Source organism: Homo sapiens, chromosome 9 (assembly GCF_000001405.40).
Source record: "Homo sapiens chromosome 9, GRCh38.p14 Primary Assembly".
Taxonomy (NCBI): Eukaryota; Metazoa; Chordata; class Mammalia; order Primates; family Hominidae; genus Homo; species Homo sapiens.
The window spans coordinates 5,417,626-5,437,023 of record NC_000009.12 but is presented as its reverse complement, the minus strand read 5'-3'; the positions used below and the strand labels follow the sequence as shown (position 1 = coordinate 5,437,023).

The following is a 19,398-nucleotide window of genomic DNA, read 5'->3' as shown; positions in this document are numbered from 1 at the left end:
TGAGACACAGTGATGTTTAAAATTGTATAAGTAGCAAGACATTTTTTTTTACCCCTGGTGAAAAGTGTTAGAATTTTTAAAAGACTTAACTTATACAAGTGAGTGAAATCAAAGTTATCCCTATTGCAAGGTCAATTTTGCTTATTTTCTGATACATATTTTGTGAGCAAGAGGAGATAGCTGAAAGTGTTCTGGACACCCTACGGAATATTCCCAGACTTTGGGAAATGACTTTGCCAGGAATGGGGAAGTTGGGAAAGGAAAGAATGTTGAAAATACTGAACTCCAGGGTGAAATTTACAAGGTGTGATGCATTTATTTATTCTCAGGTGTGGTTTCCCATAAGGAAGCTCTTCTTCCTGCTTGGCTTCCACCTTTAACCCTTCCACCTGGGAGCGTCCTCTAACACATTCAGACTACAAGTCCAGACCCAGGAGAGCAAGGCCCAGAAAGAGGTAAATCTAAATACTAACTTCCCAGACAGTGTTTCTTTCCCAGATGATTGACATGAGGACTCTCTCTTTTCAGGGGAGATCCTAACCCCTTACAAACAGGAGCACTTGAAAGCACACAGCTCTGTGATATACAGGGTATGTGGAGGAATAGTACTAGAGTACAGTTGTTTTCTTTATAAATGTTTGCAGCAGGTGTAAAAATTTAGTCATCCACTCCTATGTTCAGAAGAAAAATAAGTAATGGCAAGTGGCCTGAGCCACAGTTTTTCTTGTATCTCTCATGCTTTGTGCAAATATTTAGGGGAAGTAGACACCATGGAGACTATCAAGATGGATAATATCTCGCTCCTAACCTCAGGCAGGTTCTGGTCTGCTGTTAGAGATGAGTCGCATGGGACTGTTAGGGTTTGGAGAAAGGAAAGAACTGCCAAATCACCCTGCTGTCAGTGAGTGGCCTCTAACTCTGGTCACAGGGTGCTCGAGTGGCACAGTGGCAGAAGGGGAGGGAAATCTCACCACCTCAGGCCTTTTCAGCATTGTGCCTCTTCATCCTGGTAAGTGGTTTGGTATCCTGTGCTCAGCTTTGAAGCTGACTCTGGCACAGAGCCCTGAAACTCCAGGTGTATCCTTGATCAGAATACAAGGAAGTCACTGAAGTCTTGCTTGCAGCTCCCACTCACCTGGAACCCCATTAGCTGGGCTTCCCACAGAATACTTGGGAATCCTGGCTGTAATGAATTAAGACTGGCCATTCTTACCTGAGGTTCACAACCCTACTCAACAGCCTATTAAAGAGAAAAGGTATCAGCAACATTGTTGAGAAGGGTAGAGCAGTTGTAACTTTCCCCTGAGTTTTGCAGTATTCTGAAATGCAACCAACTAACTCAAGGTCTTCTGTACCCACCCAGTTGGATTAAGAATAAAAATTGGAGTTCTGTCCCTTGTAGAGTTGACAGCCCACTTAAAAACTTACATAAGATAGACACTACTGTGCATTCATCTAAAAAGTACATTTTCCAGGACATTCAAGTATCTGTATGTTTTTCCATTTTTGAGAACTTTAGTACATGCTATCTTGGAGAGAATGAGAGTGAAGCTGGAGGAGGATGGCTAAGGCAGTTAGCAGTGGGTGGATGGAAATAAGGGGCATGTAGGAGAGGGACAGGGATTGTGGTGGGATGACAGGAAGAATAACTGGTCTACTGACCTTGAGACAGCTCAATCTTCTTCTTTTTTTTTTTTTTTTTAGTATTTATTGATCATTCTTGGGTGTTTCTTAGAGAGGGGGATGTGGCAGGGTCATAGGATAATAGTGGAGAGAAGGTCAGCAGATAAACACAAGAACAAAGGTCTCTGGTTTTCCTAGGCAGAGGTCCCTGCGGCCTTTGGCCCTGTTTGTGTCCCTGGGTACTTGAGATTAGGGAGTGGTGGTGACTCTTAACGAGCATGCTGTCTTCAAGCATCTGTTTAACAAAGCACATCTTGCACCACCCTTAATCCATTTAACCCTGAGTTGACACAGCACATGTTTCAGAGAGCAGGGGGTTGGGGGTAAGGTTATAGATTAACAGCATCCCAAGGCAGAAGAATTTTTCTTAGTACAGAACAAAATGGAGTCTCCTATGTCTACTTCTTTCTACACAGACACAGTAACAATCTGATCTCTCTTTCTTTTCCCCACATTTCCCCCTTTTCTTTTCGACAAAACCGCCATCGTCATCATGGCCCGTTCTCGATGGTCGCTGTCTCTTCGGAGCTGTTGGGTACACTTCCCAGATGGGGCGGCCAGGCAGAGGCACACCTCACTTCCCAGACAGGGCGGCCGGGCAGAGGCGCTCCTCACTTCCCAGACGGAGCGGCCAGGCAGAGGCACACCTCACTTCCCAGACGGGGTGGCGGCCGGGCAGCGGTGCTCCTCACATCCCAGATGATGGGTGGCCAGGCAGAGGCGCTCCCCACCTCCCAGAGGGGGCGGCCAGGCAGAGGCGCCCACTTCCCAGACGGGGCGGCTGGGCAGAGGCGCTCCCCACCTCCCAGACAAAGAGCAGCCGGGCAGAGGTGCCCCTCACTTCCCAGGCGGGGCAGCCGGGCAGAGACACCCCTCACCTCCCAGACGGGGCGGCGGCCGGGCAGAGGTGCTCCTCACTTCCCAGACGGGGTGGCGGCCAGGCAGAGACGCCCCTCACCTCCCAAATGGGGCGGCCGGGCAGAGGTGCTCCTCACCTCCCAGACGGGGTGGCCAGGCAGAGGCGCCCACTTCCCAGACGGGGCGGCCGGGCAGAGGCGCTCCCCACCTCCCAGACGAAGGGCGGCCGGGCAGAGGCGCCCCTCACTTCCCAGGCGGGATGGCTGGGCAGAGACACCCCTCACCTCCCAGACGGGGTGGCGGCCGGGCAGAGGCGCTCCTCACTTCCCAGACGGGGTGGCGGCGGGGCAGAGACGCCCCTGACCTCCCAGACAGGGTGGCAGCCGGGCAGAGGCACTCCTCACTTCCCAGATGGGGCGGCCGGGCAGAGGCGCTCCTCACTTCCCATTTGGGGCAACGGGGCAGAGGCGCTCCTCACTTCCTCCCAGACGGGGCAGCCGGGCAGAGGCGCTCCTCACTTCCTCCCAGACGGGGCGGCCGGGCAGAGGTGCTCCTCAATTCCCAGATGGGGCAGCCGGGCAGAGGCGCTCCTCACATCCCAGACGGGGCGGCCGGGCAAAGGCGCTCCTCACATCCCAGATGATGGGCGCTCAGGCAGAGACGCTCCTCACTTCCCAGACGGGGCAGCCAGGCAGAGGCACTCCTCACATCCCAGACGGGGCAGCCGGGCAAAGGCGCTCCTCACATCCCAGACGATGGGTGCTCAGGCAGAGACGCTCCTCACTTCCCAGACGGGGCAGCCGGGCAGAGGCACTCCTCACATCCCAGACGGGGCGGCCGGGCCAAGGCGCTCCTCACATCCCAGACGATGGGCGCTCAGGCAGAGACGCTCCTCACTTCCCAGACGGGGCAGCCGGGCAGAGGCACTCCTCACATCCCAGACGGGGCGGCCGGGCAAAGGCGCTCCTCACATCCCAGACGATGGGTGGTCAGGCAGAGTCGCTCCTTGCTTCCTAGACGGGGTGGCGGCCGGGCAGAGGCACTCCTCACTTCCCAGATGGGGCAGCCAGGCAGAGGCGCTCCTCACATCCCAGACGGTGGACGGTCAGGCAGAGATGCTCCTCACACCCCAGACGATGGGCGGTCAGGAAGAGATGCTCCTCACATCCCAGACAACGGGCGGTCAGGCAGAGACACTCCTTACTTCCTAGACGGGGTGGCCAGGCAGAGGGGCTCCTCACATCCCAGACGATGGGCGGCCAGGCAGAGATGCTCCTCACTTCCTAGACGGGGTGGCGGCCGGGCAGAGGCACTCCTCACTTCCCAGAGGGGGCGGCCAGGCAGAAGCGCTCCTCACTTCTTCCCAGACGGGGTGGCTGGGCAGAGGCGCTCCTCACTTCCTCCCAGACGGGGCGGCCGGGCAGAGGCCCTCCTCACATCCCAGACGATGGGCGGCCAGGCAGAGACGCTCCTCACTTCCTAGACGGGGTGGCGGCCGGGCAGAGATGCTCCTCACCTCCCAGACAGGGCGGCCAGGCAGAGACGCTGCTCACTTCCTAGACGGAGTGGCGGGCGGGCAGAGGCTGTAATCTTAGCACTTTGGGAGGCCAAGGCAGGCGGCTGGGAGGTGGAGGTTGTAGCCAGCCGAGATCACGCCACTGCACTCCAGCCTGGGCAACATTGAGCACTGAATGAGCGAGACTCCGTCTGCAATCCCAGCACCTCGGGAGGCCGAGGCGGGCAGATCACCCGAGGCCAGGAGCTCGAGACCAGCCCAGTCAACACGGCAAAACCCCGTCTCCACCAAAAATACAAAAACCAGTCAGGAGTGGTGGCGCGTGCCTGGAATCCCTGGCACTCGGCAGGCCGAGACAGGAGAATCACCGGAGCCAGAGGCAGGGAGGTTGCAGCGAGCCGAGATCATGGCGGTACAGTCCAGGCTCCGCAAGAGAGGGAGACCGTAGAAAGAGGGAGGGGGAGGGGGAGGGAGAGGGAGAGCTCAATCTTCTTAAAACGCAAATGCAAAGAGCACAAAGAAATATGTTCTTAAGACGCACAAGGCATCTTCTTAATCATCCCTCCTCAGATGCAAAGGTTCTGTTGCCTAATTGTACAGAGGTAAGAAGATGGATGGTATCCACCCTTCCCCTCACAAAAAAAGAGAGTTGTTTTTTTCTTCAAGAATTCAGTTCTTCAAGATTTATGGTGGGAAGAAAAATCAGGAAACAGCCATATACTTATAGAGCAGGGAAGGATTTTGGAAATTATCTAGTTCAATCAGTTGGTGTTAGGTGAGTAAAATGATGGCCAGACTCGTTAAGTATGCCTGAGGTCAGGCAGCTAGTTAGGAGCAAGAACTAGAATCCACACTGTGTTCCTAGATCAGAAATTTTACTTTTTTTTTTTACTTTGTCATAAGCCCAAGGTAGCTCAAAGTGGAGCATACAAGAATGCATGTAGTGTATTATTATAAGTCTCCTTGCTTTTTTTACATTTTAGGTCAAAATGGGGTTTATATTTTCAAAATCTATGAATGAAAGCATGAAAAATCAAAAGGAGTTCATGCTTATGAATGCTCGACTTCAGGTATGTTTTAAAATAATTAAGCTATTATGTTGTTACAATGCTTAAAGTTTCTACCACATGTACTCCAGCCGTACATTCTCTTTGACTCCCAACAATAAAATGTTCTTTGGGCTGCATCCTTAAAACCAAGATAAAATGGCTTACTAATTATCTGGTGAATGGGCTAATTTAAATCTCCAATCCAGATAAATTTGTGTAAAAATTTCCATTCTGTAGGAAGAGATAACTGCTTAGAGTATGTGGTACATAGAATAATGCCCCCCACCCCCAAAGATAATGTTTGAGATGGGGAGATTATCCTGGATTATGCAGATGGACTCATTGTCATCACAAGGGTCTGTCTTTTTTTTTTTTTTTTTTTTTTTGAGAGAGTCTCACTGTGTTGCCCAGCCTGGAGTGCAGTGGTATGATCTGGGCTCACTGCAACCTCTGCCTCCTGGGTTCAAGCGATTCTTGTGCCTCAGCCTCCCTAGTAGCTGGGATTGCAGGCATGCACCACCACTCCCGGCTAATTTTTGTATTTTTAATAGAGACAAGGTTTCACCATGTTGGCCAGGCTGGTCTCGAACTCCTGGCCTCAAATGATCTACTGGCCTCAGCCTCCCAAATTGCTGGAATTACAGGTATGTGTGCCTGGCCCACAAGGGTCTTTATAAGAGAAAGAAGGAAGCATGAGAGTCAGTATAAGAGAGATTTGAAGATGCTACACTGCTGGCTTTGAAGATTGTTTAAGGATCATGAGTCAAGGAATTCAGGAAGCCCCTAGAGGCTGGAAAAGGCACGGAAACAGATTATTCTTTAGAGCCTCTACAGGGATGCAGTCCTGCCAGCCCATTTTGGACTTCTGAACTTAGAACTGTAAGATAATAGATTGGTGTTGTTTTAAGCCACAGACTTCGTATAATTTGTTACTGCAGCAATAGGAAACTAACATGGAGTGTGAAACCTTAACATTGGATTTAGACGTGGCTGGATAGAAAAGATCAAAGCACTGCAGAAGATTATCTAATTGCCTAATACAGGTTGTAAAAAACATTTTAAAATGTTGCAAGTCAAAAAATCAAGTCTTAAAAGTTTGACCCGAATTATTTTCCTAAGATTTCAGACAAAGATGTCTAGGCCTCTGTGGCCCATTATGGCTCTGGGAGTAGAAAGTCCTCTGGTAAGGCATGTAGCTAGTGGTTAAAAATGAAGACTAAAGCCAGACTGCCTGAGTTTGAATCCCAGTCCCACCCTTGACTAACTGTGTGACTTGTGCCTCAGTCTCCTGATCTGTACACTGGAGGTAATAATATCCCCTTCAAAGGGATGTTTTAAAGATTAAAGATGAAATATATAGAACAATGCCTCAAGTTTTTAGAAAAATGCTTCTCACCTCATAAATATTTGTTGCTGTTGTTACTATTATTGTTTTTAATGACTGACAAGAGTGTCTTATGCAGAATAAATATCTCTTTGGGGACAATGAAACAATTGAAAGAATGGACAACTGAATTATTGTAACAGAGCAGTGACCTAGGCGAGACCAAGTATTAGGTTTACAAATCAGCCAGCTATCCGATGCTTAGCACGTCCTTGTCAAAGACCTTTGGAAACTACAGGGTTTTTACTCTTATGTTGGTCCCCATGAAGTCAGGGTCTGTGAAGGGTCTGGGATTTTACCCTACTTGCAAGCTAACGTGTTAGCCTATTACAGAAGACTGGAGACAACTACATCAGAGTCAGAGGACTTTATTACTCACAGCACAGCAAACAGCATGAGCGTGGTGGTGTTAATTCCCCATGTCCTCCAAAACTCACCGAGGTGACAAAGATGGGCACGGGCGAAATGAGTGCTATGCACTCAGTGGATTTGTGTCACAGTTGAGCAGCGTTGAGCTTAGGGAGCCTACTGCTTTTACAGTGGGCCATGAGCAAGGGGTGGGTTGTGGCAGGGGGAGAGGGTGGGAGCTACTCTCCTCGTAGTTGTTGTGTCCTGGTTGACCCACCCCAAAATGGAGATGTCAGACCTGGGAGTTACAAGCCTCCATGGGTTCATTTTTAACAAGAGCTCAGCAGCAGACCAACGATTGCGTCCCCTTTTTGAAAGGGGTGTGTTATGGGTTGAAATGTGTCTCCTGTCTCCAAATTCATATGTTGAAGCCTTAACCTATAGTACTTCAGAATGTGATCTTGTTTGGAGATAGGGTCTTTACAGAGGTAATCAAGTTAAAATGAGGTCGTTAGAATGGGCCCCAATTCAGTGTGACTGATGGCTTTATGAGAAGAAGAAATTTGGATACAAGACCATACAATTCATACTGGACTATGCATACCGGGACCATACAATGTGAATATGAAGACAGCTGTTTACAAGCCAAGGAAGGGGCCTGGAACAGATGCTTCTCTCACAGCCTTAGTAAGGAACAAACCTTGCAGACACCTTGATTTTAGATTTCTCCCCTTCAGAACAGAGACAATAAATTTCTGTTGCTTAAGCCGTCCAGTTTGTGGTCCTTTGTTATGGCAGCCCCAGCAAACTAATACAGGATGTATTTGGTGCCTGTGCCAAGCAGGTGGTGCTGCTGCACTGGGCAGTGGCCTCACTGGAGCTTCATAGTGATTTTCTTTTCCTCCCTGGGCTTCTATGTTTCTATTAGACCACCTAGAAGGGGTCTGGGAATCCCTGACTGGGGAGTCTGTTTTGGTCACTGTGAGTTTTATAATACAAGCATGTAATACATCAATGTCATTGTACATTTGTATGTAGTGGGTAGGGAGAGTGTTGACACACATCACAGTATCTTGAATTGGCTATAAAGGTCCCTTTAATTTTTTTTTACTCATTGTGAAGTTTGCTTACACTCTATCAGTTGAATTCAGTTACTTTCCCCCACCTAGTCACAATATACATGTGATCAAGCATGATGACTCACACCTGTAATCCCAGCACACTGGGAGACCATGGCAGGATGATTGCTTGAGCCCAAGAATTCAAGACCACCCTGGGCAACATAGTGAGACTTCATCTCCATTTAAAAAATTTAAAAAATTAGCCAGGCATGGTGTTACACAACTATAGTCCCAGCTACACAGGACGCTGAGGTGGGAGGATTGCTTGAGCCCAGGAAGGTCAAGGCTGCAGTGAGCTGTGATCATACCACTGTACTCCAGCCTGGTTGACAGAGCGAGACCCTATCTCAAAAAACCAAAACAATAACAATAAAAGAACAGAGACAAAAGAGTTTAACATAGGTACTTCAAGGGTGGTCGTAATAGTTTCAAGAGATTATGCTGTCTCCAGCTAGGGGAGAGGGGCAGGGAGGGCTTTTTGTCCTTTGGCTCCTCGTCCCAGAATGGGTGCTGCTTCCTGTCCTGTGTTCTCTGGCCTCTGGAGAGAATGGCCACTCAGAGCCATCATTATTTCAGCCTTTGCTGGAGCCACTGCATGGCCTTGCAGTCTTTGGAGCTCTGGGCCACCCCAGTGCTTAGCATACTTGCCTTCCCTGAGACCAAGTAGACTTTGGCACTCGTGTCCAGTCCAACAGAGCCATAAAATTTTGAGTCCTTCCCTGCCCTGAAGTTCCCCAGCATACTTCCCTAAAGCAGAGGGAGTTGGAGGAGAGGCAGGGGAGGATTGGGGACTGGAGGGAGAGAGCCACTCAGTGCCAGTAAGCAAGGCTTTGTATTTACTTTATTTCAAGTGACCTCTGCCACTGGGCTCAACAGACAAGTTTCTGACGCTTTTAGTCTACCCACAGTTCTCTACCCTCATTGTTAACACCATTTATTTCAGCTCTGGGGACCCCTAGATTCAGCAGCCATCGCCACGTCGCCTTGTTTTTTGGCTGGATCGTGGAGCTTGCTGCCCCATTGTCATTGATAACATCCTCCCTTCTCCCACCCCAGAAGGGAGTATGACACAGCCAAAGCACCATTAGGACACCTTGTTTCAACCCTACCTTTTGTTGTTCAACCACATTTAACACATAGGACAGTGAGGAACCCTTATTCCACTTTCCCATCCTCACCACCATCTAGGCAAGAGCATTTACTACCAGATCTCTGGGAATCTTCTCACGTCCTGTAACCCAGCCAACCAGGGCCCTTGTCCCTCCTTTTCCAGAAAGTCAAATATTTCTATGAGCATCTCACATTTGCCACCAAAACTATCAGGGCATGTAAAGTGTCTGGGATTTTATGCTACTTGCAAACAACGGTAGTCTTCCTTATCTGTGGGGGATATGGTCCAAGATCCCCAGTGGATACCTGAAACCATGGATTGTACTGAAGCCTATGTATACTATGGTTTTCCCAGTACATACATACCTATGATAAAGTTTAATTTATAAATTAGCCACAGTAACAGATTAACAATAATTACTAATAAAAATAGAGTAATTGTAACAGTATACTATAATAAAAGTTTTGTGTATGTTCTCTCCTTCTTAAAATATCGTACTGTAGATCTTAATAACCTTGGCATATGATTTTTTTTTTCATATTGAGAACTTCCACTCTTTCACTTAAAGGAAGCACTTTATTGCTTCTCTTTGGTATATCCAAATTGCCAGCATCACTACTCTTCTACTTTGGGGCTATGGTTAAGTAAAACAAGGGTTACCTGCACACCAGCCACTGTGATATTGTGGCAGCTGATCTGATAACTGTGATGGCTATTAGGTAACTAACAGGCAGGTAGTGTGGACAGCTTGGCTACACTAGACAAGGGGATGATTCATGTCCCAGCAGGAATGGTGGGAGATTTTATCACATTACTCAGAATGATGGGTAATTTAAAAATTATGAATTGTTTATTTCTGAAATTTTCCATTTAATATTTTCAGACTGAGGTTGACCATGGGTAACTCAAACTGTGAAAAATAAAACTGTGGATAAGAGGGGACTGCTGTAATAAATTAGCCTGTTATTATTTCATGGATGCTGGCAGAAGACTTTATTACTCGTAGCACAGAAAGCGGCACGCACTCCAAGTCCCATAAAGGAGATGAAGGAGAGCCTCGTTGGATGCTGGGATGGATGCTTTGGGTTTGTGACATAGCTGAGGTACATTGAGCTTGTGGACTCTATCATTTTCATCATGAGTGATGAGCAAGTCTGCTCTTTGACTGGAAGGAGATGGTACCTCATCCCTCAGGGTTGCTTACTGCAAACACAACTCTGGGAAATGGCCCAGCTAAAGAGCAGTCAGGGCCTGTGACCTCATCCTACCCAGCAAGATCGTGCAGGAAGACTTGTCCCATGGTGGATTGATTCTCCTAACATATGTTGCTTAAGGTGACTAGGTTTTTCTTGTTGATCAAGATACACTTTATTATTTATTTCTTAATTTCAAGAAAGGATGAACAGGGGAATATAGACCCACATGGTTGAACCAGTGTTCTAACTCTAGAGATACTTGAGTTCTGATCCTCCCTGGGGCAGCCTAGAGAGAAACATCCTCATCTACAATAGTTTCGGAAGATTGGTTTGTTCCTTGAATGTGTCCCACTTGAAGGAATTAAACTTCCAGCATCATTCTAGGGTTTTGAGCTGTTCTTTCCTTTTTTAAGAGTATGAAGTATTTGATATATACCACAGAGTATATTTATATCAAATGTAAGTTATGGAGTATAATAAGATGAACACCAGCGAATCTCCCACTAAGCTTAAGAATTCTGTTATGACAATATTCCTGAAGCTCCCTGGGGGTTCTCCTCCCTATGTATTGAGTGAACCCAAATAGCTAAGGCTGGGCTGGAATTGACCTCATGTCCCAGAAGTCCCTAGGGTTGAAAAGGACCCTGAAAATGGCATGGACTTGACTACTGGGCTAGAAGATGTTGTCTTTTTAGGGTCTTCAAAGATGAAGTTTTAAAAAAGATTCTGATTGAAATACCATGTCTAAATAACATCTTTAGCCTGTGATTTAGTCTTTTGGCTATTTTTAAATTTAATGGCACCTCATGAGAAGGATAAATAGAAGAAATAAAGCAAAACGTTTATTAGAGTAAAGCCTAATAAATAAAATCTTATCCTACTGGAGTTTTTTTAGTTCTTTATTTTTTGATTAAAAACAAAGATAAATCACAGCTCAGTAATTTTGTGTTATTGTTTTTTTCTTTTGGGGGAAAAGACCACTCATGATTCAACCCCATCTCTTATACCACTGGTCAGGCTCCCAATCCTGGCTGCACATTTGATTCATCTAGGGCCTTTTGAATGTTTGGGTCCCACCTCAGACCTTCACAGAGTTGTTATTTTAATCTCTCTAGGGGACTGTAATGCAATGTAATGGCCTGGGGTGAGAAACATTTTTTCCCTTCTTTTTCTGTGATGCTACATAATTATAATTGGTGATTGTCAGTGATTTAATATAATCTATAATGGAGATAGAAACCAAGCAAGTTTTCAATTAATAGTAAGCCAATCAGGAAACGAAATTAAATCAATCACTGGAGTCTGGTTAACCAAATTTATGAAAGGCCTCAAATCAAAAGGTTTTCTTTTTTTAACTTACGACTTTGGTTCAAATTGTGATGGAGAGGATTCATGCTACTAGTTATAATGATATTTTCAGATTATCAACAAACTTCAGTTTCTTTCTAGCCTGTGTTAGGATGGTGGATGAGTGGTAAACTCATCTAAAAACTCCTCTAAAAATGAATACTTCCTTAAAATGCCACTAGGAGGCACACCTAAACTAATTTTATGTCACCTGAGTGGCTGGAAAAGCATTTTGAGAATGAGGGAAGAACATATTCTATAGGTCCATGCTGTGCTGCAGTGCTATGTAGGCAAAGCACTTTTGGTCAATGTAAAGATTAGCTGGGCAGTAAATAGATGTTTATTTGTTGTTTATTGTGTTCAAGCAACAAACTAAAGGTTTTTTAAAAATGCATGAGATCTAGACTTTGACCTTTATATCTGTTGTTAGACTTTGGTGTTAAGAAAATGAGGCATAGCTATAAACCAAAAAATACAGTTATTTAATATTAATATGTATAGGCTGGGTGGGGTAGCTCACGCCTATAATCCTGGTCAATACGGTGAAACCCCATCTCTACAAAACAACACGAAAGATGAGTCAGGCGTGGTGGCTCGTGCTACTTGGGAGGAGGATCACTTAAGCCCAGGAGTTTGGGACCAGCCCGGGCAACGTGACAAAACTCTGTCTCTTTCTCTCTCTCTCTCTCTGTCTCTCCCTCTCTCCCCCCCCTGTGTGTATATATATATATATATATATATAAAATATATAATTATATTATATATAATGTAAATATATTAATATAATATAATATAATAAATAATATATTATATTACTGTATAATATAATAAGTAATATATATTATATTGTATTATATAAACATATTAACATATATGTTAATAATATATATTTATATGTTATATATTATATGTTAATAATATATATTATATTTTATAATATGTTATATATTATGTTATAATATATAATATATTTTATAATATGTTATATATTATATGTTAATATATAATATATTATGTTTTATAATATGTTATATATTATTACATTATGTATTATATGTTATTAATGATAATATATTATATATAATACTATAGGTACACATCACATTGCCCAGCTAATATCTAATATATATTATATATAATATATGACATATAGTGTATATATACTATATGACACATATAAATACATATATATTACATATTACATATATTATGTATTATACATATTACATCTATTACTATATATAATATATATTATTACATGTAATATATAATATATGTAATATATATTATAATATAGACTATATTACATATATAATATATATTATATATTATACATATATATTAGCTGGGCAATGTGATGTGTGCATATGGTATATACAATATATGTCATATATAATAGATGAAATAAATACATATATATTACATATTACATATATTGTGTATTACACATACATATTACATATATTACTATATATAATATATAACAGGTAATATAATATCTAATATATGTAATATATATTATAGACTATATTACATATATATTAGCTGGGCAATGTGATGTGTGCCTATAGTTCCAGCTATTCAGGAGTCTGAGGTGGGAGGATTGCTTGAGCCTGGGGGGGTCAGGGTTGCAGTGAGCTGTGATTATGCCACTACACTACAACCTGGGTGACAGAGTGAGACCTTGTCTCAAAAAAAAAAGAAAAATAATAAAAAAGAAATTTCCCATCTGAATTTCTTAATGAGCTGTAGTTGAGGTACCTGGGGCCTGGCAATCTGTTCATAGAGTGTTTCAAGAAGAAAGAAGGTGTTTTCAACGGTGTCAAATGCTGCAGAGAAGTCAAAGGCCTTTAAAAAAGGTCAGTGCCTGGGAGGAACCATGTCAGTAGAATATGAGGGAAGAAACAAGTCTGTAAAGGCCTGAGTGTACGTAAGGATAAAATGAAGGAAGAATGTATATAGACTCCCTTAGTTTTCTGTGAAATCTTACCATGCAGGTAAAAGATACAGTATGTTCCAAATATAATTATAAAAAGAAACATACTTCCAGACACATACTGGGAGGTATTCCTTTGGCATTACAACATTCATTTACACATTTAGTACACTTTATGGAGTGTCTATCACGTGCCAGTTGAATTAGGAGCTAGAGATACTTTGGTAAACAGCACAATCCCCTCTTTCAAGGAACTCAGGCTCTTGAACAGGGTAGTGGTGTGATAGTGACAACAAACACTTTCAATATTGTGTTAGGAACTGAGAATTCTAGAGTGTTTTGTGAGCCAAAATTGGTCTGGCTTCAAATGTTTTCTAAGTGCCAGCAGACTATGGAGCCATATCTTCAGAATTTTGAGAGAAAAACCCCAAAACTTTATATTTAGGTAAATTATATATGCATGATGATAAAAAGAAAATTTTAAACGTGCAAATATTAAGAAAATAAGTCAGCCAGGTGTTTCGAAAGCAATTAACTGAAGATATAATCTTGTCAATTTAGAAAGAAATACTAAGACCCACCAGCAAATCTAACTTGCTAAAGTGCATGTAGAGGAGAGGAAAACTTTAAAAAAAAACTTTAAAACCAATATTTTGGTAGTCTTTTTTCTTCTATTCCATCTTCCTTTGCCTTTTTGCCCCTTTTTGTTGGAATATACTTTAAGGCAAATTTCTATTTACCTGTAATATTTCCATATGATTCTCTAACAGATATAGATATAACCATATTTAGCTAAATTAGCAATAATTTCTTCCTATCATATGCAACCTAATTTCAGTTGCTTCACAAGTGTCTTTTACAGTTGTGTTTGAAATAGGGATCCAAGCAAAGTTTTCCTACTATAGTTGATTATTATGACTCCTAAGTCTTTCTCAGTTTGTGAGAATATCCCTCCCTTTCTACTTGTCGTACTATTTATTTGTTGAAGAAACCAGCTCATCTGTTCTATGGAATGTGCTACAGTTTGTATTTGGCTGATTGCCTCCTCATGGTATTTCTGAGCATATTCTTCTATTTCATTCTTCCTATGAAGTGGTAAATCTAGAGGTTTGATGAGACTCCAGTTCAGTTCTTTTAGCAAGAATCTTTTCTAGGTGGCAGTGTGTAATTCCTAATACATCACATCACAAGGCTCATGAGGTCTGGTTGTCTTACCTTTAGTCATATCGACCTGATCTACCCATTATAAGTTTCCCCATCAACCTGTGATCGGCCGGCCTTACCATCCACTCATGATCATTGCCTACATCTGTGACTTCATTAGGGCTTGAATAAAATGGCAGTTTAAAAATATTCTCTCATTCCTTTGACATTCGTTGTGTGGAAATTTATTAAGAACTTTTACTACCTGGTTATCCTGGAATATAGTTTGTACAGGAAACAAAATAAATGCTTGATTCTGTCCTTTTATTTAGCAATTTCAGAATAGTGAATTGATACCCTAGAAGTCTCCACAATTTACCAAATAACTTTTGTTTATTTGTATATTGTGACTATAAACTCTTTAATCAGTTGTAGTCATTATTCTTTTTGCTCAAGTTATCCCATCTTTGGCTAATGGAAGCTCTTTCAAGTTGATTCCTATGTCCCTTAGATAAGACCCACTTAATTCTTGATTGTAGGGAGGTTGCTTTAGCCTGCCTGTGTCTCATTTCCCACATGTGAGTATATAGCTTAATAATAAGGAGTATGATACTTTGTAGGGTTACTCTGAGGATTAAGTGAGATGTCCCACATACAAGAATTTAGCACACAGCATCTGCCCCATGTAAGCACTCAGCAAAGTCAGTAATTAAAGCAAAAGTTTTCTTATTAGATGTGCCATTTATTCATTCACCAAATGTTTATTGAGGAGCCCCTGCTCTATACTGGGTAATATTTAGATGGGGAGACATAATAGTGAACAAAATCCTTCCCTTGTGGAACTTACACTCCAGTGGGAACACATGCAACAAACCAACAAACACAGAGTGTTAGTGGTGATGAGTTCTGTGAGGGGAAAAAGCAGGGTAAGGGATGATGATGGGAGACCATGGGTGGGTGAATGGGAAACCCCATTTTTGGTAGAGTAGTTAGTGAAAGCCTCAGAAGGTGACCTTTGAGCAGAGCCTTGAGGGAAATGACAAAGTGAGCCATGCAGATAGCCAGGGAACGAGTTTCAGGCAAAAGGAAAGTGAATGCAGAGACACTGAGCTGGGAGAACTCGTGGTGAGTTGGAAGAACAGCAAAGAGGCTGGTATGGCCAGAACTCTGAAAGGATGGGGGAGAGTGGATAGAGATGAGGTCAGAGGTCGCTCAAGCCTTGTACCCAGGACAACTGTTTTGAAATGTATTCTGAGTGACGTGGGAAGCCATTAAAGGGTTTTGAGAGGAGTAGTGATGTGACCTGATGGTTTTTGCAACATAAAATATAGTGTGTGCTCAATAAATGCTTTCTGAAATACATAAAAGTTAAAGCAGCAAATAACTATTATGAGCACATTTAAAAGTTGCTTAAATCCTTATAACTCCCAGTATCTGTCACACTTGTGCCCCCCATCTGTTTTTTTCTTTACTTGCTTGTTTTTTGAGGAGAAGGCTGTACCAACATCTTGAAATAGGAAGGGTCCTATGTTCTGAGGAAAGCAAGAAAGTGCAGTGTGTGCTTTTAGAGAGGCTTTTGGTGACAAGGAACCAGAATGTAGAGTAGGTGGAGGAGAAGAAAGCAGCACAATCTTTGTAGGGAGAAAGACCAGGTAGTGAGTGGGAGTTGGCCCAGAGACTAGAAGTATGAGCGGACTTAACCTGGAAGTGTCTTTCTTAAAGGGGCAGCATGGCCAACACAAGTTCACCGAGGGAGTGGGTGTACATGCATGACTTAACTCCTGGATCCACACCGTATTTAGCTTTTCGTTCTGGGGCTCATTTCTGCCCATACCTCCTGTCCCCACTACCTGCCGTAGTCTCCCCATGTTCCTCATCTGAAGTCATTCTTCTGAAGTTAATTTTTTTCACTTGTGAAAAAAATACACATCATATAAACGTCACCATTTTAAAGTCTACCACAATTCAGTGACATTTAGTACATGTACAGTGTTGTGCAACTGTCACCACTATTTAATTCTGTAACACTTCATCACTCCAAAAGGAAACCCTGTAATTGTTAACCAGTCACTTCCAACTCCTCCTCTCCTTCCTCAGCCCTTTGCAACCACTAATATGCTTTCTGCAACCACTCATCTGCTTTCTGCCTCAATGGGTTTGCCTATTTTGGGCATTTTCTGTAAATGAAATCATAGAATATGCAGTCTTTTGTGTCTGGCTTCCTCCAATTAACATAACCTTTCTAAGATTCATCCATGTTGTAACATGTATCAGTACCTCATTCCTTTTTATGGCTGAATATCATCCATTGTATGGATATACCACATTTTGTTTACCTAGTCATATGTTGGTGGATATTTGGGTTGTTTCTACCTTTTGGATATTGTGTATAGTGCTGCTGTGAACATTCTTATACCAGTTTTTGTTTGAACAGTTGTTTTCCATTCTTTTGGGTATATACCTAGTAATGGAGTTGCGGAGTCATATGGTAATTTTATGCTTAACTTATTGAGGAACCACCAAACTCTTTTCCACCATGGCCACAGTTTTTTACATTCCCGCTGTAAAGTGTAAGGGTTACCATTTTTTATGTCGTCACCAAATCTTATTTTCTCTCTCTCTTTTTTTTTCCCCCCAAATTCTAGTCATCTGGTAGTTTTGAAATATATCTCATTCTGGTTTTGAGTTGAATTTCCATAATGGCTAATAACATTGAATATGTTTTCGTGGGCTTAATGGCCATTTGTATATCTGCTTTGGCGAAATGTCAGTTCTAGTCTTTTTTGTGTCTTTTTTTGTGGCTCGCGGCGGCCGCTGGCCATAGGGCATGTCTGGCTCAGCTGGGCAGGCACCCAGGACCACCCCGCGAAGCTGTAGCGTCCGTGGCCTCTGTAGCCAGCACCTGAACACGCCACGGAGAAAGGTCCGCTGAAGAAAGCTCAGTCTCAATTGTGCTTCCTGGCTCTTGCCTCCCAAACACGTACCATTTCCACTTGATGTCATCATGCTCAGAATGGAGTGAAAGGGATTCAGTGACAGATTCAGTTTGGAGGATAAATAATCATATTGCAATGTTTTCCTTGGGAACCACTGTTTCCAGAAGCCATGGTCTTTGAAAATTGCCATTGCTGCTGGCCTTGTATTCCTGGGTGTTTTGAAAGAAGATGTGCCCCGCTGCTGGCTCTGAGCTGCCTGTCGCTGAGGTCGCCCTGGCCTTTGACAAAATGAACACACCTGTGAGTGCTGGATGTCTGAGCTCCCCATGACCTGCACTGGAAAGACGCAGAGCGGCGGCCTCTGAAGACCAGCTCCCTCCCCTTCCCCTTGGCCTTGCCCTTCCTGCTCAGGGTCCACCATGGAGACGCTGTCCCAGGACTCTGCTAGAATGTCAGATCTGTTTTAATTACTGCAGCCCCTAGTGAAGGCCAAGTTGCTGGATTGCAAGCACACCTGCTGTTCAGTTTGCCTCCAGCAGACGAGGACCAGCCAGAAGGATGTGCGATGCCCCTGGTGCAGCGGTGTCACCAAGCTGCCCCCTGACTTCTCCGTGTCGCAGCTCCTCGACGACCCCGAGGTCCTGGCTGTCATCACCATTCCACACGCTTCGGAGCACATGCCGGTCTTCATCAGACTTCCCGGCAGTGGGTGCTACATGCTGCCCCTGCCCATCTCCAAGGAGCACGCGCTGCTGCCCGGAGATATGAGCCGCCACCTGCTGCCCAGGAACCGGCAGAAGTCCGTCACTGTGGTGACCATCCCTGCTGGACAGCAGCCTCTGCAAGGCAGGGCTCCCCAGGGGGTGGCGGAGGAGGAGCAGGACAGGCGGGGCATGGTGAAAAGCTCCATGTGGTTGAGGGTGTGCACTGTCATCTTGGTGGCTTGCGTCTTGGTCTTCCTCCTCAGCATCGTGCTCCATAACATGTCCTGCATTTCTAAGCGCTTGACTGTGACATCTTGTGGCTGGAGAGGGCTGCAGGGAAGTCTCTTGTGGGTGCCAACTTAGGGGTTGAGCACATTGGTGATGAGATCCCAGTGAGAAGATGAGGGGGCGACACTGACCATTTGGTGCTGAGAGCTGGCCTCTGGTTTGCCTCTTGATTTACCGCAAGACAGACATGAAGGGCAGAAGGTGAGGTCTCAACAAGATACCAGGCAACTTGCTCTGAGTACTGATGGCAACAGCTTTGAAGATGATTGCATGCATCCTCATAATCATGTATTCAATGGACTGTAATTTCTGATTTTTCAAAATCACGTTACGAGATAGACATATTCTACTTAGACGTTAAACTCCACAAGTGCGTACAATGTGATCTTCTCGAAATCCGTTAGATTAAAACAAAGATGCTCTGTATGCAAGTAGAATTAAACCTGCAAATCCTTGTAAAAATTCAGTTAAGACATGCAGTGCTGGCTTCTCTACTTTTTTTGTTTTCCTTGAAACTCAGTCTTCATTTAGTTGCTGAGGCTTTTTATACATTTTGAATGGCAGCAAAACAAGTCAAAATGGACAGTCGTTTTTTTTTGAGAAAATATTTTAACAACTGTCTCCAATGTGTTGTGTTTTGTTGTGAACCTTCATTTTCTTCACTTGTAATTAGAGATCCTACGTGTTTATTAAACTGAAAGCCCAATAGGGGAGCAATAAACCGAGACATCATGAGAAAAAAAAAAAGAGTACTTTACATATTATGGATACTAGATTT

At 43.8% G+C, this 19,398-nt stretch overlaps 1 protein-coding gene and 1 pseudogene across 3 annotated transcripts in view, besides 1 other annotated feature; both read left to right on the top strand.

Annotated features, from left to right (window-relative positions):
* The window catches only part of PLGRKT (plasminogen receptor with a C-terminal lysine), an 80,407-nt gene that overhangs the window by 1,354 nt on the left and 59,655 nt on the right, over window positions 1-19,398 (top strand). For all 3 annotated transcript variants that reach the window (XM_005251510.6, NM_018465.4, XM_011517960.3), the window contains exons 2-3: window positions 330-455; window positions 5,041-5,127. In XM_005251510.6, coding sequence (XP_005251567.1) covers window positions 5,047-5,127 — 81 coding nt within the window. In that variant the 5' untranslated portion in view covers window positions 330-455; window positions 5,041-5,046. The remainder of the gene's footprint in view (window positions 1-329; window positions 456-5,040; window positions 5,128-19,398) is intronic.
* On the top strand, window positions 17,915-18,852 carry RNF152P1 (ring finger protein 152 pseudogene 1; annotated as a pseudogene).
* Window positions 18,096-18,508: a silencer, noted in NCBI's record as "fragment chr9:5418516-5418928 (GRCh37/hg19 assembly coordinates)". NCBI's record gives its function as "represses an EF-1alpha promoter that drives an FKBP-Casp9 reporter gene in an ReSE screen in HepG2 liver carcinoma cells {active_cell/tissue: HepG2}" and the evidence as "EXISTENCE:reporter gene assay evidence [ECO:0000049][PMID:32094911]".